This window comes from Homo sapiens, chromosome 10 (genome assembly GCF_000001405.40).
Source record: "Homo sapiens chromosome 10, GRCh38.p14 Primary Assembly".
NCBI lineage: Eukaryota > Metazoa > Chordata > Mammalia > Primates > Hominidae > Homo > Homo sapiens.
Genome location: NC_000010.11, coordinates 129,876,461 through 129,898,871, shown reverse-complemented (window position 1 = coordinate 129,898,871; position 22,411 = coordinate 129,876,461). Strand labels below are relative to the sequence as shown.

The following is a 22,411-nucleotide window of genomic DNA, read 5'->3' as shown; positions in this document are numbered from 1 at the left end:
CAGCCTTGCTGCGGGAGGCGCAGCGGGGCCTGGGCGCGGGAGGAGGGGCAGCGGCGAGCTGTCACTTTGAGAAATGAGGGGTCTAAGAGGCTGGGACCAGCTTGGCAGATGTGCAAGAGGAACGGGGAGCATATTGATCAATTAAATATGCAAATACCTCAGCAAGTAAAGACAGAGATAAATAAACTGACAGAAACATCAAACTGCACATTAATGATTCCATGAAGTGCCCATCCCAACAGTTTAGTTTTAAATAAATGCTACTTTACCAAAGTCAGTTTATAATGTGGTTAATGACTGGAGTGGGGCGACGGATGCAAACCGTGCTTGTGAGCCATGGTGCCATCCTTCTGGGTTGGGGTGGGGGGCGGTCCCCAGAACAAGGAGAGGAATTCAGGTTTCCCTATAACAATAGCCCACCGATATCCCATTGTTGCTGACTTTTTCAGGCTGTTTCTATATCATTTCCTTTCTCAGCCGCCCCAAAGAAAGCCTGATTGTTTCCACCCAGACTTTGCCTGCAGTCTCCTGCCCATGGGTGAACCCCGTAAACCCGGGACCCCGTATTAGATTTCACTCCTGCACTGCAGACCCAGCCGGGCAGGATGGGTACCTTTTGTCCATGACTTTTACTCTGTGAAAGGCACCTAATTATGACTTTGCTCTTCAGACTAATGAAATTATCGTCTTGTTCTCTTGCTTCTGTACTGTTGTCAAGACTTTGAAACATGATCGTTTAATTACTGACACCTACTGTAGCTCATTTTATGCATGCAGAGCTAGAAAATGCTTGTCTCTGGGAGCCCAACAGGAGCGCTGAGCTCTGCCCTTTTGGCTGCATGTGCAAAGTCCTCTTTTCATATGAAAATTTAATACAGCAACGGGTCAGCTCGGGCTCTCTTCTGTTGAGCAGCCCCAGCTTTAGGCATTTATAACAGAATTATTTGAAATTCCTCACCAGGAAAAGGGCAGAAATTGCAGCATTTGGAGGATGCTGGAACAAAACCCCAACAAAGTTCAATGATATCTGCCTCTGGCCGCCATGTACTCGCATACCCACAAGTGGCCCCGTCACGATAAATGTAGGAAAGTAAGATGTCATTTCAAGAAACTGGGGAAAATATTCAGGCTTTGACATTTGGGCTGTTTTTCCACTCTGATAACATCAAAACTTGTACTTCTTGATAATAAATAGGAGAATGTCAGCTGTCCGTCAGGGCTCTGAGGCAGGCACAGTGGGCAGGCTCGGAGACAATGGGCGCCCTCGAGAACCTTCCCGGGCTTCGCCTCTCGGATAAAAGGGTCGTGTGCTGGGTTTCCTCTGTATTTTCCCAGGAAGTTCCTGCATAGGTGTTGCCTCTGTTTGTTAGGTCTGCCTGGCCCCCCTTGATTTAGGGGGAGCCAGTCTGCAGGGGAGGGTGGATGGGAGAAGAGGCCATGCACCTCAGGGTTTTGCAGCACCGCCTTCCAGATGGGTGGCACCGCTGGGCTCTGCTCTGGTTCCACAAAGGTCCTGGGGCCACTGGTGTACCCCCAAGAACTCACCCACACAGCCATGGGCCTCATCTCCTTTCAACCCTCCTAGGTCCCTGCAGGAAAGTGGGGCCCAAGTGGACTAGAGGTGTCCCCAGGAACTTGGACAGGAAGAGCAGAACCCCTTCCTGGCTGCGTGGAGGGCCCGTGTACACCGCGAGTGTGTCTGTGACCACAGTGCTCATCCCAGGACCCCGAAAGGAGACCGGCTTTGTCTTCCTGTCTCCCAGCTCCAACTGCCCGTCTAGGCCCATCTCTGCTCAGGTTGCCTGCAGTGAGATGGCCATGGCTGGCAATCAGGCTGGCGGTGCCTGTCCTCGATGCTTGATTAGTCAGATTGATGGAAGAGGCCATATGTGGCCATGTCAAAACTTGGCTACAAGGCTCTTTCCCTCTCTATGAAGGACAGGCAATAAAGAGGAGGCCTGGGGTGGCGGCGTGGGCAGGCTTCTCTCTCGGTTTGAGCCTCTGCTCAGTATTTAATGGTCGACTCCCCTGCCAAGTTCACGCAGGGCGAAAGGTGGCTACGGGCTGGGCGTGTCACCAGCTCTCAGGAGTTGGAGCTACAGGGGGCTTTGGGAAGAGATGGCATTTTTCTCATTCTCTGAGACAACAAAAGGGAATGCTTAAGGAGGAGAGCAGCGGGAGGAGCAGGGAAGACAAAGGCACCGGCGAGGTCAGCGGAGCTCAAGGGCTGCACGGTGCACCGCCTCCGGGAGGCTCGCCAGGAGGCCGCGCCCCAGCACGTCCTGCAAACTCCAGCCCCCCACTCGCTGTGCAGGGACAGGGGCAGCCCCCAAGGGCCTGTCGCACCCCCACACCCGGCCCACGCCGGCCCCCGCCCCGTCCAGCCAGCTGCTCGGAGGGGCCAGGAATGGCGGGCGACGCCAGGCCAGGGTGGCTGACGGTGGCCGCGTGGCCGGGAGCGGAGCTGTCAGGTTATGTCTTGTTGCTTGGCTTCATTCAGTCCCTCTTTTAATGTGCATTCAAGTAGAATAAGTGAATCTTCCCAGCACCAGCTGAGCTCGGGCTTGTTTTTGCATGGTGGCTGCTATGACCACTGAGGCCACCTGACATCCGGCAGCCGGCCTGGGTTTTTTTGGCAGAGTTGGACGATACACATGCTCTTTCATCTAAATGGGAACTCAGATGGATCATAAAAGCCCCTTCCCCCCACCCTGCATTTTGACTTCTTCATAATAATCTTTGTAGCTTCTTGATCATGTCCTGTGTTTTTCTGGACAAGTTTGAAATTGCATGCGTCAGGACTTTGCTAATTAAAGTCATACTTTCAAAAATGCCATAATAACTGTTAATTAGCTTGATGCTATTTTCAGCATAATTTGCTAATTAGTAGAAAACCTGTACAGCATTTCTTCCTAATTACAGTATGGCTCCACACGCCGCATCTGTGACTTGACTCCAAATGATGCCATTACAAAGTCCCACATTACGGATTCTTTCAAAACAGTTAATTACCTCTCCTGATATTGACAAACTCTAAAGTCAGCTGGATTTTTTTAACTAATATGTGCAGAGAAATAATCTGTGTCATGTCCTTGTCCATGATAGGAAAGTAATCAAAAGTATCATTTTAAAATGGCACAAGTATCGATACAAGTTTATTTGTAGTAGCATTTCTGCACACCAGCCCTTGTCCCAGGTGGAGAAGCACAGGTGTGTTTAGGCCACTCCCCTACCAGGGTCCTCAGGACTCCTCTGGTAAGATTTGATTGTCGAATTTTGAGAGTATGGATTCACTCCTTTGTCCCCTGATGACATACTGATACTCATTGGGTTTTTCTGTGGAGGTCTGAAGGGGAATGGAAATGCCTTACCCATACTCGGAGGAGAAGCTGCCCATGGGAACAAGGGAGCTTCTCCAGTAGCTGGGCCGCAGCCCAGCTCAGTGTGGTGTCCAGAGCCCGCTCTTGGTACACCCGAGCCTCAGGTAGATTCGGTGCCGGGAGGCATACGAAGCCTTGTCGCAGGGCCTCCTTCCCCGTCCACTCCCTCTGGAGCCTGGCTGGGGGAGAGGCATCCATCCACTTCGCAGAGGGCAATCAGGAGCTAAGAGCAGCCAGGTGGCTTCCCAAACTCCTGCTGGTGAGGCAGTGGTTGAGTGAAGGCATGAGGTCTTTATGCAAGCAATTCCATATAGTCCTCCCAGCAGCTCCATGAAGTCGATGGACGAATGGAATCTCGGCAAAATTAAGTGTCTCGCCCAGTGGCCCATGAGGAAGAAGCAGAACAAGGGGCTGAACCTGGCCTTACTGTCCCCGTTCCGCATGCCCACTCATTTTGCCTGGCTTTACCCGTCCTGCAGGCTTTACAGCCTCTGCCATGAGCACTGCCTTGCCCCAGAAGGTGCCCAGGACTTTGTGCTCACTGACCCAGGGACTCACCCACATCTGCAGACAGGCTGCTGCCAGCCTGAGTAGGAAGTCACCAGCAGGAGACTCTGTCCCTCTGGCAACTTCCTGAAAATGCAGCATGTAAACATTGGGAATCTTGATGCCTTTTACCTACTGTCAGAGGAAGCTGAGATATTGCAAAGTTGAAAACAGATGATGTTGACAAATGTTAGAATAGGCTCTGTGGAGGCCCCAGGCAGATGCAGTTTTCTGGAAGAGTCTGCCCTGGAAGCAGGAGGGTCATCCAGGCTATTGGGAGAGCCATGGCTGCTGCAACCTGGGGAGCTGGAGGGCCCCAGTGAGCAATGGAGAGCCTGGTCAGTGAGCTTCCAAGCAGAGTAGAAAGCCTCCTTCCAGCTCGGTCTGAGGAGGAGCTGGGGCACAGAGGCGGGGCCCAGAGGCAAGGTGCTGGATCATAGGTCACCGAGCCCTGCAGGGGGCCTCTCCCCTGGGACCTGTGGGATGTGCCAGCCACGGGGGCAAGGTCCTGGGTGATGGGTACAGACCTTGGCATCTCTTCTGGTCGTCCTAAAACTGACAGGCTCAGGGTTGACAAGTGAGTCCTCAGCCCTCGTTGTGACTAATTAATGCACCCATTTTAGAACCCCCTTCATTTATGGATTTTGAAAGGCATTATTAAATTAATTAAATGATGAAGAGTTATTCATTATGAAATCAGGAGGTTTACATGGATGACAGGATTTATGAATTAAACATCTAAAGTTCTGCGCAGGAGACACCCAAGTGCAGATCACCAGCTTGACAGATTTTCCCTTTAAGCCAGCCCACGTCTATATCATAAAAGTTTCATTTCTATTAGAAAATAAGAACAGGAACAGGACTGGGGAGCAGGTTAATAGGAAGGAGGGGGGCACTTAAGCCTTTACCGAAATTATTCTGCCTGTGGGTTGCATCTCCAGCCACACGAGTTGGGGAGTGGGGCTTGGGTAGGAGAAGCACGCGCTTTGTTCACCCCAAACGGAGGGTGGCTGTGGAGAGTCCCTCACACGTGGGGCCCCGTGCACCCCCACCAGGGAAGCCAGCAGGTCTGCTGACAGGCCTGCACGCTTCCTGTAACAGAGGCGCTCACCTTGCTGTTGACCTCAGCAGACGTTCCGAGTCAGACTGATCAATGAAATTAACTGTAGCTTTAAACTCTGGCTTAGCTGGAGAGGAGGGGAGCGCAGAAGAAATGGAGAAGGTGGTCCGGGTTTCATGCGTGCGCTGTGATTTGCAGATTAGCTGGAGAGGCTCGTTCCCGGCGTCAGGAAGTTTGCCAGCAAGTCTTTGTTTACCATGCCAGGGGAAATTGTCAGAGCTGGTAAAAATTTTCTTCAAATTTTTTCATCTTCCTAATCTAACAGTTTACTGAACTTGATAAGTGTCCTATCAACATGTTAATCAAATTACTTATGAACAAAAATTGACAGTTTTCATTAATTATACAAGATTATTCTAATTGCAATTCAAATTTATTCATTTAGAACAGAAGGTATTCAGTAATATTTTACAAAATTTGCATATTAAATGGAGGGAGTTGTACATTATGTATGATAATGTATGCACATTTTCTTATTTTTAACTTCAGGGCCATATGTGGTGCTGTTGTCGGAGCAGGTGAAAAGTCTGAGTGTGTTTAATTTGCTTGACAAACATTAGGCTGGGGCTTGTCAAGTGGAGTATAGTGAATGCCAATCTTTATTTACTCCTTATTGATTACCCCAAACTCTAAACATCTGCATACCTTGTATAAATTTCCACTTATGAAGCTGAAATTGATGAATGAAAGCCCATGCCATTTCCCGGGGATTGGTACATTTCAGGAGTGAATCACAATCAATTATTGTCATAGGACTATTGAAATATAAAGGGAGAGCTGGGAGGGAGGGCCCAGCGCCCTGCTCTCACGATTGATTCAGGCAGGAGCCTGTTCCGAACCGTGTGTGCCAGATTAGCCCGTGACTTCATGACGAGCATGGGAAGTATGCTAATTAACGGCTGGCTGCCGGCGCCCTCCCCTAAAATGGGAAAATACATATTTGGGGGTTATGATTTGATGGCGACGTTCAAGTGCGTTGTCACAGATTGGGAAAGCGTTTTCATCAAGCTGGCTTGTTATGCCTCGTTTCGATGTGGTTTAAGCAGCAGTCTTATTAGGTTAACCCTGCTCAGTGAAAGCAAGCAGGCTTACTTTCTGATTAGATAAAATGTGCAGGCATAATGGGAAAAGTCATTAAGTGATGAATGTACTCTTAGACATGGACTAATCATACTCTATTTATGTAGCTGGTTCGTAGCTATGACCCTCTCGTGTGATTCTTGTGCTATATTTATGGTCAGTGGTGATTATCATTAATTTGTAACGCACATAAACATTCATGCAACACGGCTCACTCTCTGAGCCGTCACAGGAGGCCTCATTCCCGGTCTGGACCCATGGTGTTGCTCACCTCACAGGTGTCCGGCATCCGTGGCACCAAAATCCCCAAATAAGTGGAAATCGCCAAACAGCTCATTGCACTTGGCTCCTATGGTTCCAATGACAACAGTTTTATATGGAAATTGAGTTCATCAAATTAATTATTCACTGCTTTTACGGGAGTGGGTTCCAAAGCAGGGGCATGTGCACACTGTGAAGACCTACCCCTCTCCTGTTTCCTTGGGGGCACCCCAGCACCGCCTCCTGGCCCCAGGTAGTTTCATAAGGGCTCCAAAGAGGAACCCGACTAAGAGCCCCGCTACTCATCAGTTGGAGCCTGGGACCCGGGGAGAGACCCGGGATCATCCTGCTCAGTCAAGTTCACTTGACTCTGTCATTTCTTGCCGCTGCTGAGAAATGCTTCCCCTGCCAGTGTCCCAGCCCTGGGTCCTCAGGCAGGCCGTTGGCCAGAGAGAGGCGGGCCCATCAATCTCCCTTAACAGCCTGATTGGCTGCAGGTCAGCTGAGAGGAAAAGGTTTGAGATTGGGACGGGTTTAGCCAGGAATCTCGGAATTTCCCGGATAATTGGGGGAGAGTGACGCCAAGCTCTTCCTGTCACTTTTAGATATTTCTGAACTACCTCTGTAATGAATTGGAATGCCTCTTACCAGGGCCTCAGAGACGCCGTGAGCCACTGAAGTTTATGCTCTCCAATTATCCAGAAGGATTCTCAAAAGTGGGCTGTGGGCCTCTGAGCTCTGTTGTGCTTGTAATACATGGCATCACCTCCTTGGGTGGCAGACCACCGGGCCACGGATCCACAAAGGATGGCGCGGCCTGCTGGGGACCCTGTATTGGTACAGACATCACTGCAAGTCTGACTCAGAGCTAATTGCAGATAGTTCATTTAACTCTGACTTCTGCAAAAATGGATGTAAATATGGAGGGAAACACACAACAGTCGTTTTCGTGAAGAACGGCCTTAGGACAAAGACAAAGAATAAAAAATGTCTTTTGTATTTACTTGAAACAAATGAATGGTATCAGGTGAAAAATATCTGTCTGTGCTTGTTCAGATTTAAGGCCTACAAATTTGCACCTTATTCCAATTTCCTGCATGCACGGGAGGAAGTGCGAATAGCTTATTCAGAGGCAGATTAATGCAAAAGAGCTGAGAGGGCACATAAATCTACAAGTAGTGACTTGTACCATCATGTAGGTGTAATGATTATCAAACTGGAATCAGGGCTCAGAGTATCAGCTTAACACAGAGAAAATTTGCTTGATGGGAGAGTATTAAAGTCATGCTATAATATATCCATATACTGTGACTAAATTTTATAGTTCATGAAGCATATTAGTATTACACTATATCCCGGTACATTCAAAAGGTGATTTCCATTTAGATGCTCATTTTTCATGAAGATAAATATGACATGAATCATAATTTCCCTGAAGTAAATATTACAAATAATAAAATACTCAGGCAAGCAAGTTGAGGAATGACAGTAATGTTTTCCATTTGTATGGTAAGTGGCGAACCTTGTGGCCTATCAAGTAACAAATTGAATGTTTAATCTTTCTCCATGCAGATTGAGGATGGCAAAGTAGCGCGGTCTCACAACAAATTGAGAGTTCTCTGGTGACTCGTGGAGTATCAGCTCTTTTGCCTTCAGAGGCCAATAGAGGGTGTCAGCAGAGCTTTGTCAAAATAGATCACGAGCATGAAGTTGTAAAATTGCAATTTACAACAAAAAGACTTTGGGATAACGGGCAAATCTTAGGCATGCTAAATACATAGCAAATATTTAGAGAGGCTTTGTAAGCAATTTAAATATTGTTAGGGGAAGTTGCTTAGCATCTGTGGAGCATCCCAGCGGTAAAGAAAGAAATGTATCCTATCAAATGGTAAATAGTCTATTCCAAATGATAAAAATATTCTTTAGATACTAGCTGATCGAGTTAAACTAATTGGTTGACGGTGCCTTAAAGCCGTGCCCAGTATTAGGCTGGCGGAGGCCCCGCTGTGCACGTCACACCTTATGGTGTTAATGGCGCTCTTTGTGCTACATCATCTTTGCCGATTTGCCCTCACATTTTGGAGTCCCTCCGGGCCTTGGGGATCCTGGTGCAGCAACAGCTTGTTTCCCTGGGATCTCGATGCTGGCCTGGAGCCGGCCTGCCGCCTGGGGTCTCGGCAGTCCAGGCCACAGTTCAGGGTCACTTGTACCACACAGCCCGGGGATGTTCCTTCTGCTGAAGGTTCTGTTGTATATTAATTTTAAGTTGCAGTGTCTGCACTGCAAGATGACACCACTCGCATTTTGATTAAGGATTTTATACATGAAAAAATTTTCATTATCTGAGTTCCCAGAGACCTCCCTGATTGGTTGGCTGTCTGACCCACAGCTGTGTCTCCAAGCGTCGGGGTAAGGACTCGGGCACATGAGTGTGCCCTGCACTACCTCTGGTACATGAACAATTAATGGGGCTTTTGACTCTCAGGGAAGTCAAGACTCTTCATAACCAAAAAAAAAAAAAAAAAAAAAAAAAAAAAAGGCACTTCAATGGGCTTTGCTCATTTTCCCGTTGATTTCAGGGAATGTGGAAAGAGTCACTGAGTTACAGGGTAGTAAAAGTGGTCGGGGGCTGCCTCTGCATGTCCTGAGCCTCTACGGTTTGCATTTTTTTTTTTTTTTTTTGCAGATGTGACATAGCCATGGGAAAAGAAGTGGAGGAATATGGCCTACTTCCCCTCCCTGCACCCAACAGGACATTCATTATTTATCCTGGTTGTTTTCCTCTTTTAACTTCTGCCCAAATTATGAGTGAGGATATCTGGTCATTAGAAAGTGAACGGAAGATTCCCCTGCATCTGTCTTCTCTTATCAAATGAGTCAAGGGAATGTGTGTGGAACTCACTGGGAATGTGTTGCTGGCTGTTTAGCGGGTGGGGGGTGCAGGGAGGCTGCAGAGTTTGGGGAGCAGGTGGATGATGGAACCGTCCGACAAGAAAGCTGTGCTCAGGCAGCAGAGCCCACATATCAGTGGGACGGCCCAGCCGCAGGAGGGGTCTGTCCCAAGTGTGTTGCAGGCAGGAGCTGCTCCCAGCCCAAGGCTGCCCGCCCACCCTGGCGTTTGCTGGTTTCCGCTGAGGCCCGTCCGAGAAGCCCTCTAGTGGGGACAAGCGGGACCACGCTCCTGTGCCACGAGCTCTGGCCTTGTCCCTTTGGCCCCCATGCTCTCTGTAGACCCTGCCCCAGCGGGAGGGCAGTGACATGGAGGGGCGTTGGGGTCTTCTCTGCAGGGCACATGCTGCTCTGTTCACCTGCCAGGGCTTTGGCGGCCAGCAGAGGGGACCACCATGTCCTTTGCAAAGAACCAGACCAGGGCCTTCTGCAGATGCTGGGCTGCCTTGTGGACAGCTGCTGGTTCCTTCCCATGAGCTCTTGGAAAGTTGCACAAACCCCGACTGGAGGGGCTGTTGGGGAGGGGACAGGGGTTCCCGGTCCACCCCCTCTGCTGTCACGCCTCTGGCCTGTGCGCCGCCACCATCTGTATAGGCCCAGGCCTGCTGCTCCCTCTGCCCACACTGGGGTTTTGATAATTCCCTACCTTTTTTTTTGTAATTGCAGAATCATAAAATATTTTAATTTCAAGGTTAGCAATTTTCTCTTGCATACTTAATTTATAATTAGCTGGTTTATAAACCTGTTCTGCGAATATAATTTTACTGTTGCCAAATGTTCTTCATGAATAATTAAGGACAAATCCCTATTTATCAAATTATTAATATACCTAATAGCCTTGTTTTCATAAACAATGCATTGGAGCTGGATTTAAAGAAAACCTTCTCAGAGGGATCTGGTGTTCGGTTCCCACCGCGGCCGGGACCCGCTCTGGGCATCCGCACAGAGGGATGCTTGTGCTGCGCCGATGTCGTGGCCCCGGCCTTCTTTCCTCCACAAAAGCGCAGGTATCAGTAGCTGGACAAACACAATGGCCATTCACCAGTGGGACTGGGCCTCCGCGGCCTTGTGAACAATGTTGTTATTTGTTCTAGCAATTCACCAGGAGCATTTTGGAAGGAAATGTAACAGATGAAACCCTCCTTTCAGCCTTTAACGACCTCTTTAAATCCTGCCCCCATCAGGAGTCTACCAGTTTTCAAAGCGAGGAAAGCAACTTCGACGCGCCAGTTTGGATCTAAGGACGCAAAAGCCACCGCCTCGGGCCCTTCAGTCTGTTGACTGGGACCATGTGAGGTTCAGGTCCAGAAGGCGGAGGAAGAGCCATAGCGGGTGCTGCTCCCCGACAGGAAAATGGAAAATCACGCGGAGGGCGTGACGCATGCTCGCTGCAACTCCTTCCTGGAGCACGCCCACGTTCCATCGAGGACAACGAAACTGTTCTTCTCCCTGTGCAAGAAATTCAAGTCCTTTTCTCACGAAGAGAAGGTTCCCAGCTTACCCTATCAATAGTTTGAACAATTGGAGAAAAATAAGCAAACCACGAGGCCGATTGGGATGGATCAGCAAGGAGTTTCTATGGCATGGTCCCGGGCTTCCCTACTGGACGTTTTAGGGACTGAGCATCTATGAGGAGCGTGGGGGCGGGTTAGCTGATTTTGTTTGCCTCTTACCATTCGCCAGGTTTATAGTCAACGCTCTGAAAGGAGATCAGGGCCGCGGCGCCTCTCTTCTTGGGGCTGGCATGTGCGAACCCACCACTCGCCATGTGTGACTCCATGTGCATGATTCATTCCAGAGCAGTTTTAGTCCTCATAAAATATTCATTTTGGTTGTGCAGGGCCCTGTAATTGCCATCTCTCACCCTGAATTATTTATACCTTGCACAGACTGACAAAGCTTTGCCATGCGGCCCTAGATGAATCAGAAACACGGATCTTTGCTGCCAACAGCATTATAGTTCCACAAAATATGGCACCAACGTCATTCTGGGCTGCCTCATCTCTAAATCCAGCTTTTCTTGATTTGACATTTTCTTTACTCTTCCATTGTCTTAGCCAGGCAGAAAGGTTGCCTCTTAACTGTAAGCAGCAACCTTTCTTGCTTGCATTATAGCCGCTGTGCTTGAGAGAACTAATGTATCTTTATTGCCCTTACTTTTTTATGCTCGGTAACAAGACAGCGCTTGGGCTCACTTTAGAGCCATATATTATACATTAGCGATAAAATGATGCAAATAGTCCTGAATACTCTTCAAACAGATAGTGGAGATCAGGCTGGATCAAGCTGCTTGTCACAAAAACAGAAAATGAAAGGTGACGTGCAAAGTTGGGCCGAGTGGCATGCTCCCCAGCCGTGGGCTGTTGCAGGCCCAGGGCTGAGGGTCCCAGGTGGGGCTGCAACTTGTATGGGCTTCTTTGTGGGCCAGTGCCCCCGACTCTCAGCATCCTAAATGCATCTATTCACCTCCCCCCCCCCCCCGCCCACAACCCCCACCCAGCCTCTTCCCCGGGCCTGTGCTTACCCTGACATCTCCATGTTGCAGCCAGGCGCTGATCGGTATTTCCTTCTGTTTCTGCATTCCAGTGTTAAAACCCCTTCTTGACCAGGGGCACTCAAGTGTGCGTCTCTCTGTGTCTCTCATACATAGTCTCCTGCACCCCACACGACAGGAGAGGAGCGGTTAGAAGGACAGACATTGGAATCACATCTGAAGATTTAGGAGAACCGTGCTAATGTGAATTAGGCACTGGTAGGATGGAGCTAACTCCCCTGCAGACCTTTTAAAACAAGAAGGGAAAGAAACCCAGTCAGCTCTGAATGTCGGGAGCTCTTGTTTCTGAGCAGAGACAATGACGACCTGCAAAAATCCCAGGGAAAAAAAAATTCCCACATACCAGAGGGCCGCAGAACAGATAATCTGTGAAATATTCCAACACAGCTGCCTGGTGGCGTGGGGAGCCGAGCAGGGTTTACTGAGATTTTAACACCTTGGTCCTTCCCCGAGCCACAGAACGGGATTAATTTATGGCTCCTGGCTCATCAACAAAGGGAGGTGAAGAGAGAGGGCTCGGTGCTGTTCCGAGTAATGGATGACCTGTACACACATTTCTCTTGTATATGTTGACACGCAGGAGTAATGAAGTTAAGGCTTTGCACACATGTGCCCCTCATTAAGCTGCATTACCTGCATTAAAACTAATAATTGCCACTCAGAGCTGTGCGCCCATTAATCATTTATAATGTTTTAATAAGTTTTTAATCAGGACCTAAAAGGCTAGAGAGCCGCATAGGCAGGTCCAACACTGGTGTCCTCCGTGCATGCACAGGCTTGATTTAAAATGTGATTTTTTTATTAATAATTCAGCCTACAAAGATGATAGTTCTTAATTAAGCAAGCTGGTGTGGATGGGGGAAATGTACATCCGAGGAGGAAAGGATTAACAAGATCTTTCCCACTTGGAGATGGGAAGCAAAAAAAAAAAAAAAAAAAAAAAAAAAATTAAAACCAAAAACAACACCCCCTCACCCACATTTATTTTGAGAATGACCTCCCCAGCCATCAGGAATCAGGATGGCGAAAGAAGCATTCCCGTGATCTTCAGATCCCTAAAAACACACACGCGTATGGTGGGAGAGGCTTGAAACCCTAAGTTGGGATAAGCATAGGCACTTAATCTCTGCATAACCTGTAAAAGCCTCCCCTGGAGCTGGCAACAAGTCAGGGGGGTGCGTCTGTTGTGAGCCAAGTGATGCTGGCATTTTTCTTAAATAAGGAGCTTCGTGATCAGAGCTGGCAAATAGAACAGTGTCCAGAGGGAGAGAGGAAGCTGTTTTAATGAGCCCGCAGCGAAAGACAAAATACAGACTGATTGACAGGGCGCGTGATCTGCTGGGGAAATAATGTCAGTGCTGCATTGCCCATTAGAAATAGAGAAATAGGTAAAGGGGGGAAAGAAAGATAGGCACTTGAAACAAGAACCCTAGTGTAAATATAGTGCACTTCACATTTCTTTTGTGTTGTGCAGTTGACTTCTTTGAAACAGATAACCTTATCAAAACTATCATGAAATATCCGGAGCAGTTGCAGAAAATACTAACTAGAACACTGACAGCGGGCGGAGTGGGGTGGCTGACGAAGCTTGTAGCTCTGGGATGTACTTGCCTTTAGAGTGTCTACCTGGATTTTACTTATCTGAACACATTAAAACCACCCGGAAAAGTTTAATGCGAGTCATACAAATTTCTCCAAACGGAGGACTTGGCGGGGATCTGTTCTGGAAGGGGATATTGAACTGGCCGGCAAAGCCATTAAATCCCATCAGATCTCTTTGGCATCATTTTAATGAGAATCATTGCAAAAGTACAAGATCATGGTATCTATAAGTGCCTCTTGACAGCCGCTGCTGAAATTGTGATGAAAAGAAAAACCATTATAGCAGAAATTTAGCGATAAGGCTCTTTGGAGGGACGGTGGGGCCTAGTGTGGCTCTAGGCTGTGAAGGGTTAATTTTCTAAACCTAATAATGTTCGATAGTGAGGTATTTGTCAGGAGATAAAGAAGTGATAGAATCTGGGAAGTGGGTCCCTTGGCGATTGTAGTACAAATATTGTTAATGCGGTGTGGTTACTACAGCGGAGGGAAGTAAAATAGCTGGAGTCCACTAGAGACGGGCTCGGCTACAGTAGAGCCAGAATCCCCAGACAAAGGCCAGTCGTTGTTGAACTGCAAGTCAAGCCGTGGATATTTTCAAATCCTCATACATCTACATTTACATGCAGGATAGCGTGTGTGCTCGGGGAGCATGCACGTGCAGGCCAGGTACTCCCAGTTGGGGAGTCCAGCCATCCAGACCTCTCGCCTGGAGAGGGGAGCCCCCAACAAAGGACATCTGGGCACAGCTGTAAAATTCAAGCTTGCCGCCCTCTGCCCCTTCGCTATGACGTCATGCAGGCACTACAAGTATATGAGACCCATAACTTGAAATGTACAAGAATTTAATAAGTCTGGTGTTAAAGCAATTTGTCATGGCATATTTGAAGAATAAATCAGACTAATGGAGCAGATTTTTTCTCCCGTATGGCATTAAAGAACGTGAGCCCAGTAATAGCTAATGGCAGGAGTGAGAGAAAAAGAGAGGCCTGACATTAAGACCCTCGCATTTTGGAAATCCAATACGTATTGACCTGTGTACTATCTTAGTGCACAGATCTGATGTCAGCAGAATGTAGTCTTGTATAGGAACTGCTCATTACAGGTTTTGTGAGGGAAGCACATTGTCTCTGAAGCGCCCGAACCCGATCGGCTAGAATTGCTCAGTAATCAATACTCCAGCGACTGATGGCCGGGTGTGCACACACCACAGCTGTGGCCACTGCTTTCAGGGACTTCCCAGTAATTAGCAGGGACCTCGAGGAAGCACTCCACTGGCCACTCTTATCAGTCAGGGAAAAGTCTCTTAAAGGCTCTATCTTTTAATTTGACTCTTAACTATTTCATTTCAATAGCACAGTAAAGGCTGCAGCCACCGGCCCCCATGAGGGCCTCGGATCACGTGCCCCACTCTTGTGTTCTCCTTCGGGGCAGGACGTTTTTTGTTCGCTGAAGTGATGTTGGCATAACATGAAATTAACCATTTTAAAGTGAACAGTTCTGTGGCATTTAGTGCACTCACAAGGTTGTGCAACCATCACCACCATCTAGTTCCAAATGTCCCCGTTACCCCCACAAGAGGAAACCCTGTACCCACGAAGCAGCTGTTCCCCATCCTCCCCTCCCCCACCCCAGCAACCACCAGTGAACGGTGACTTTTAAAACTGTGTTTTCTGGCTGGTTTTCAGTACTCATTTTTCCTTGTCAAGGTTATTACGTATTAAAACAGTAGTAACTGAAAACATGGGGGCTCGATCCGGAATAGGGCTCTCTGCAGCCCCCAGGAACCTCTGGAAGCTGTCACCTCCATGATTCACACACGAACACTTTGGGTTTTTGATGGATGGCCTGCAGGCCCATCCACTGTTGTATGAGTTTGCTGCTTATTAAGAGCTCTCTGCCTTAAAACTCAAAAGCAGGTTCCCCCCATCCCCCACAATAAAAGATACCAACATTTTTTATTCTTGACTCTGATTTCCCACATTACCCATCATTGAGGGCCGCAAAAGGGGGTTGTCCTTCTAGGACCGAGGCTGGAACCCAGGCACGGGAGGCTGTGCTAAGAGCCAGAGCTCTTTCCTTGCAGCGTGGCCACTTAACCCTGCGTGGGGGTAGGCGCGCACCTAGGAGTCACAGCTCGGTTTGATGAGGCGTCTTTTCAGGGGGCCAGTCAGTGTCACACCTTCCAGTGTACAGTGACTCACGTTTTCAAGCGCTGGAGAAACCAAGCCCTGGAACAGTCTGAAACTTGATGATTAAAGAAAAAATCCTGTACAGGGTTCCTGAGATGCTGAGAAGTAGGTAATTTCAAACAAGTGATAGCCACATGCAAAAAGCAAGCCATTAGAACAGTTCAAAGTTTCCTTTTTCTCTTCAATCACCAGGGTGCGACCGCCAAGCCCACTGCATTTCTAAGGAGACAATCTATTTCTCCTTTGACCAGAGGGAAAGAAATCATCATTGCATGATTAGTGGCTTCAGTTAGGTGAGAACAACAGCGGCAGGGAAGGCGGTGAGGATGGGCTGTATTAATTACCCAACACTTGCTGGCAAGATAATTTTATCAGTGGTTTGGCCAGTGGTAAGTTGCAGCTTTTGATAAAAGTGGATACGTTCTTAGCTACATGGAAACATGAGGGTAGGGATGGTGTCAGATGAAGTGCATCTCATCAGCTTTTCTCTGACAAACCAAATTCATTCCTTATGTAATTGATAACGGCCTTGGCCAATTATTTCACACATTACAATACACAGAGGCCCCCTTTACAGGTTTTGCAGGGCTGTAATTAGCTATGCTAATATCCCCTTTATTGGCCCTAATATTGCTCAACACCTTTTGCCATCCTGGAACCCACTAGAGCCCCATGGCCTGTCAGGACCGCTGATTATTGAGAAGGATAGCTTTAATCAAACATAATTGCAGTTAATTTTTCTCTCCTGCTCTCTGTTGCCAGCATCTAATGCCACGGACTCCTTGATATTCCATTAAATTACAATTAAACAGCCTCCTTTGTTTCTGATTGTCCTGAACAACACCACAAAGTTCTGTAGCCGTTTAAAGGAGAGCTGTTTGGTCCTAATTGCCTGCTAGCTCACAAAGGGCCAATTTACACAATACCCATGTAGAATTTAAACAGTTCATAATGTAATGGATATTACACAGGAGCCTAACACTACAATTAAAATGATTTTCATCAGATAGAGAAGCTCTGGTTAATCAGCTTCATAAAAGTAAATATAAATGAACTAATTCATAGCTTAAACACACAGAAATAGAGCAGACTTTGAAATTAGTCACTGCGGTGGGGGCTTGCCCCTTTCTTGTGTGATACCTAGATTGGGCTCCAGTTAAAACGGTTGATCCCATTATTTGTTTTAGCCCAGTTTAAGGTGTCCTCATTCTGCTGCTCCACGCTTATGCTGGCACTGGAGTTTTTTGTTGGGACTCTGAAACAAACACAACCAAGACCAAACTCTTTCTTCCTTGGGTGCAGTGGTGGCCACAACTCTATTTAGAGCAGATGAGTCATTGTCCCAGCAGAAATGAGGGCCTCGGGATTTCTAGATTAAACTCAAGATATCCGGAGTGGCACCCAGCTGCCCCTCCACCCCTGTCCTCCCCGGCACAGGGCCCGACTGTGCCCCTTGGTCCATCTTCACAGGACCCTCATGAGTTAGTAGAGGGAACCTCCCACAACTCAGCCTCCTGGAACCAGCCCTCCCAAGAATGAATGAGGTTGCCCATATGGTTCCCTGTCCTAGTCCCTGTGCACCGCGAAAGAGGAAACCTCATTTCAAAAGTAATAAGATCACACCTTTCCCCCTTCTGCTGGTTCCTGAGAACTTCCCAGGATTCTGTGGGCTGTTTCCGAGTGGAATGGGGCTGGGAAAGCCGCGCCTGGCGTGTAGCAGTTTATCTCGAGCTGCTGTCTTCCCCTCTGCCTGGGAGAAACAAGTAAATAAAGCCCATATTTCAAGCTTGATTTACTCTGGTACCTACTGTGAAAGATGATGACTCTTTAGGGAAATAAAGACAGGGTCAGGGAATTAGTGCACATAATGGTCATTTTGATGACGGGCCAACAGATGCAACGAGAGACACACTGTACACAATTAAGCATAATGTACTAATGACAGGTTAGAATTTTTATCGCCTCTTCGTGATGGAGCAGCAAATCCATGTTTTGCAGTAATAAAGAGTTTATTGGTGCTAAAGCCAAAGATTTTCTGACATAGGAAAGATTTTTCCTTTCATAACAAGAGTATTAAATTCTTTGTGTACCAGACTCTAGAAGTGAGATATGTAAAGTGGTTGTCAGATATTTCTTAGGAAAAAGCCAATTAAAGGGTAATTGAGTAAAGGATGAGAATTACCTTTTGACTTCACATGTTGGGCATTCAATTTTCTCACCCCCTCCCCAAACACTGAAATCGTGTGGCTCACTGAGCACCTCCTCGTGAAAGCATACATTTGCTCCGTGTGTAACTCTGCACAATATCAGAGTCACACACCTGCTGTACGGTGCCAGCCACCTTGCAAAGGCTTAATTGAATCCCCAACTCAGACATGACCAAAACTAGGGTAAGAGGTAAGCGCAGAGCTCTTCTTTCTCTCTGCTGAGGCTTCCCCTCTGTCCGTCCCTGTAGATGCCCCAAGAACCTGGCATGGAGCCACTTGACTGTTGAGCTTACTTTATTTGTGTCACTGGGACCTGTGTGCTCAGAAAGGATCCTGGTCTCTAGGGTTGTGCACGACAGCTCTTTCTCAAGTACTTGCACTGCTCTTTAGGCAGTTTGGATAGAAGCAGAAACTATCATTGCCACATAGAAAATAAAGAGAGGGAGTGAGCAAGCAAGAATGCATGTGTGTGTGTGCATATGTATGTGTGTGTGCATATGTATGTGCGTATGTGTGCATGTGTCTGCATGTGTATGTGTATGCGCGTGTGTGTCTGCATGTGTGCATGCATTTGTGTATGCATGTGTAGGCATGTGTGTGTATGCAAGTGTGGGCATGTGGGCATGTGTGTCTGTGGGCATGTGTGTGTATGTATGTGTGGGCATGTGTGTGTATGTGTGGGTGGCATGTGTGTATGTGTGCATAGGTGTGTATCTGCACCTGCTTGACTTGACCCTGGGTATGCTCAGTATGTTTCTGGGGTCCAGCACCCGACTTTGTCCTGCTGATTTCTGCAGAGGATGACAGTGAAGGCCTAAGAATGCCAAACCCAGCTCTTCATGACAGTGCCGAGTGAGGGCTAGTTAGGGTATCATCAAAACTCGCTCTGTTCTCTTGGAGGTAAAAGGGTGACTGTCTAAAAGACATCAAGAAATTTAAAGAAACCTCCTCTGGAGCTGGGGAGAAATCTCTCAAATCACAAACAAAGCTCCTGGAGATGGCTCCGTGCAGGTACATTTGCAGATGAGCAGCTTCTCGGGCCGGCGCCTGCTCCGAAGATTAGCTGGGTGGTAATGTGTGGTGTAATTGCACCGTGTTGCTGTCCCCGAAGTGAAAACCTAATTGCCTGACAGGACGATAACTTGGTGGCGCCCTCACCTTGTTAGGCCCTTTCTGATGCAGTTCAAATGCAGTGTGGCCGCAGGTGCGCCTCATTTACCTCGCTGCGGAACGTGTGGAGTTTAATTGCACAGTGGTTGTTAGGAAAAATTGGTGGGTGGAATATCAAGTGACTTACTGTATGCTGATGGCAGATGGTGTGAAGAGGCATTGTGAGCTAAGTGTATAGGTGAGGTGAGTTAATAAAAGATGTAAATTCTGGCCTAAAATGGTGAGGCCTCATGGTATGCAGGAAAATTTAATTAAGTGGCCACCACTCTTTCCCCCATCAATTGGATTTTCTTCTGCCACAGTAAGAAGTCATCCAGGATATGCTGGGGGGGCACTTAGATGAGTCTTGGTCCGTTGAGTGTTTTCATTTTCTGATATTCTAATTGCCAGCGAGGAACCTTGAACGTAAGAAAATCATGTGAAACTTCATCAAAAATTAATAATCACCAAGTAGGACAGATGATATTTTGGGAGGAAGTAGAGAAAGGTTTGTGTTGATGACCTTGCTGGACAGGATGCTTGGCCACGTGCAGAGAGTGGGTGTTTCAGCACAGACCCAAGCTCTGGGACCTCTTGGTTGTGGCCTTTTCAAGTTGAGGCAGAGGTTATACAGGGAGAAACCCCCCCACCCACTTTTCCTGTGGGTAGTGGTAGAGCCTGGCTTCCCAGGTTCTTTGAGTTCAGACTGGAAGCCAGCTCTCCTGCAATGTCACTGAGCATGCAGGAATGCGGAGGACAACATGATGACGTTTTAGTCACAGCATCTCAACACACTGTCAGGACCCCTGAATCTTCATGCCATGAAACATAAGGGCAAGGCATGGCGGGAAATGGAAATAGCACTCGCTTCGGCCTCACCTCCCCAGCCCTGCAGAGTGCTGTTCCTTGCTTTCTGCCTCAGCAACAGTTTCATTACCGCCTCAAGAATTCTTGGTTAAAACAATATGCCTCCCAATCAGTTCTTAGATTTTTTTTTTTTTTTTTTTTTTTGAGACCGATTTTCACTGTGTTGCCCAGGCTGGAGTGCAGTGGTGCAATCTCCGCTCACTGCAACCTCCACCTCCTGGGTTCAAGTGATTCTCCTGCCCCACCCCCCAATTGCTTTTTAAGAGCTGTACCTACTGTAACTCTTTTTTTTTTTTTTTTTTTTTTGAGACAGAGCCTTGAGCTGTCAACCAGGCTGGAGTGCACTGGCACGATCTCGGCTCACTGAACCTCCTGGGTTCAAGCGATTCTCCTGCCTCAGCCTCCCGAGTAGCTGGGATTATAGGCACATGCCACCGCACCTGGCTGATTTTTGTATTTTTAGTAGAGATGGGGTTTCACCATGTTGGCCAGGCTTGTCTCGAACTCCTGACCTCAAGTCATCTGCCCACCTCAGCCTCCCAAAGTGCTGGGATTACAGGCGCTACTGTAACTCTTAAAACCCATATTTAAAAGTGTGTTTGCTTAGGCAGTGGTAGCCTCTGGAATTAGGGTTGCCAGATAAGATATGGCACATCCAGTGAAATTTCCATTTCAGGTCAACAGCAATTTTTTAGTGAGGAGTATGCTTTGGGACATTATTTTTTGTTTATCCAAAATTCAAATTTAACTAGGCATCCTTCATTTTTAGTGGGTTGAGATGGTAGGCCTGTCTGGGCTGAATGTTTCCCCCATGGTTAATGGGCAGTTGTGCAAAGATTGAGCCAAGAAATGCCAATGCGAAAGTCGCAGCTATTATCATAAAGCTTGGACACCCACAGCGTCAAGGCAAATGCAACTCACTGCTCTCCTGTGTGGCTATTTCTGGGTGCCTCCTCGCCGCCTCTCCCAGAGCCTCTTCTCAATGTCGCCCCCTAGAGGGAAGTGTGGAAGCTGTGGGGTTGAGTCTCCACTCCTCCCTGCGCAAGAGTGTCTTTTAAAAAGTTTGAGTCTTTTGTCTGATAACCCTAATAAATATCATCTTTTTGTATTTTTTATAGATTCTTTCTAAAGTTTTTCCTCAAGTGCAATCAGAACTGTTTGAAGAATGCAGGCAACCCTCGAGATATGCGGAGATTCCAGGTATACATTTCTCAAAGACACGTGGACCGTGGTCCTGACTTTTCATACCAAATTTGAATTCTCTGATTTGCAACTGTTCAGGAAGTAATCTTGAGTTCTTTAAGGGCTTGGAAGCAAACTGGAATTGGTGCATTTGATAAAAATATGCAAATAAAATGCTTTAAGAATGATCTGGTATATTCAGTATGCCAGATTCATCAAGTCTAATGTGGGCACAATATAGCGAACAGCGAACTTAGCTTTGAAAACATGGCCATGTGGAAGCTTTTTTTTTTTTTTTTTTTTTGGAGACAGAGTCTTGCTCTGTATCCCAGGCTAGAGTGCAGTGGTGCGATCTTGGCTCACTACAACCTCCGCCTCCCAGGTTCAAGGGATTCTCCTGCCTCAGCCTCCTGAGTAGCTGGGATTACAGGCGCACACCACCACACCCAGTATTTTTAGTAGAGATGGGGTTTCAATATGTTTTCCAGGCTGGTCTCAAGCTCCTGACCTCAAGTAATCCGCCTGCCTTGGCCTCTGAAAGTGCTGGGATTACAGGCGTGAGCCACCGTGCCCAGCCCAGAAGTGCTTCTTTTGGGATTGATTGAGGGATTGATTTTCAGTGGGAGGAGAACTATAATGCAACCTTTTGGGAATACTCCAGATCTGAGATCCTCCTCATAGAGGGATCTGCACCTGCTTAGTACAGACCTCTGCAACTGCCAGAGTCTCTTCCTGGCCTCGGCTTCCTTCCCCCGAGGTTTACTGTGTTCTTATTGCCCACTTTCCATGCTAGTTGCATCTGTTCCTAAACTCAGGCTAAGTCCTGTCTCTGGTTTGCCTCAGAAGATTTTATCCAAAAGACGGATACAGAGGGGTAGCTGGGTGGGGGGGGGGGGGGGGTTCAGGGATGAATTATGATAGATTTATGTACCATTATGATAGATTCATATTTTTCTTGCCTTTTTTGTGAATGATTAGGAAGCTAATTCAGGGTAAACACATTGGATGATTTTGCTAATTTTAATTGTAAAAATAGTCTGGGCTAGAATACAAAACCAGCCAGAGAAGAATTTGGCGGCTAATGGAAATGACCACTAGCTTGGATGAATGACCCAAGAGCAGAATGATTCCTGTTTGGGATTTACCCAGTTTTTCCATCAAATAGCTCAAAGCATTTCTCAGAAATTTAACTTATGCCTCAGTCCTTTAGTGAATCACGTGACATCTGTCTCCATGCCTGCCCGGTCAGCTGGTCAGAGGAGGCGGGCTCTTTGGGCCCGCCCACAGTCATGTCTGCAGCTGGGGACAGTGTTTCCTGCGAACAG

The 22,411-nt window shown here is 47.5% G+C and overlaps 1 protein-coding gene across 16 annotated transcripts in view, besides 4 other annotated features; it reads left to right on the top strand.

The window, feature by feature from the left end:
• EBF3 (EBF transcription factor 3) overlaps positions 1-22,411 on the top strand; it is a 129,042-nt gene that overhangs the window by 65,403 nt on the left and 41,228 nt on the right. For all 16 annotated transcript variants that reach the window (XM_011539574.2, XM_047424961.1, NM_001375392.1 and 13 more), the window contains one exon: positions 21,023-21,104. In XM_011539574.2, the coding sequence (XP_011537876.1) occupies positions 21,023-21,104 (82 nt within the window). The remainder of the gene's footprint in view (positions 1-21,022; positions 21,105-22,411) is intronic.
• Positions 1,135-2,038: an enhancer, noted in NCBI's record as "NANOG-H3K27ac-H3K4me1 hESC enhancer chr10:131695098-131696001 (GRCh37/hg19 assembly coordinates)". NCBI's record gives its function as "activates a minimal SCP1, AML or CMV promoter by ChIP-STARR-seq in naive H9 embryonic stem cells {active_cell/tissue: H9 hESC(naive)}" and the evidence as "EXISTENCE:reporter gene assay evidence [ECO:0000049][PMID:30033119]".
• Positions 2,039-2,943: an enhancer, noted in NCBI's record as "NANOG-H3K27ac-H3K4me1 hESC enhancer chr10:131694193-131695097 (GRCh37/hg19 assembly coordinates)". NCBI's record gives its function as "activates a minimal SCP1, AML or CMV promoter by ChIP-STARR-seq in naive H9 embryonic stem cells {active_cell/tissue: H9 hESC(naive)}" and the evidence as "EXISTENCE:reporter gene assay evidence [ECO:0000049][PMID:30033119]".
• Positions 3,658-4,266: an enhancer, noted in NCBI's record as "H3K4me1 hESC enhancer chr10:131692870-131693478 (GRCh37/hg19 assembly coordinates)". NCBI's record gives its function as "activates a minimal SCP1, AML or CMV promoter by ChIP-STARR-seq in primed H9 embryonic stem cells {active_cell/tissue: H9 hESC(primed)}" and the evidence as "EXISTENCE:reporter gene assay evidence [ECO:0000049][PMID:30033119]".
• Positions 4,288-6,050: an enhancer, noted in NCBI's record as "VISTA enhancer hs232". NCBI's record gives its function as "enhancer in: hindbrain (rhombencephalon)[5/7]" and the evidence as "EXISTENCE:transgenic organism evidence [ECO:0001131][PMID:17130149]".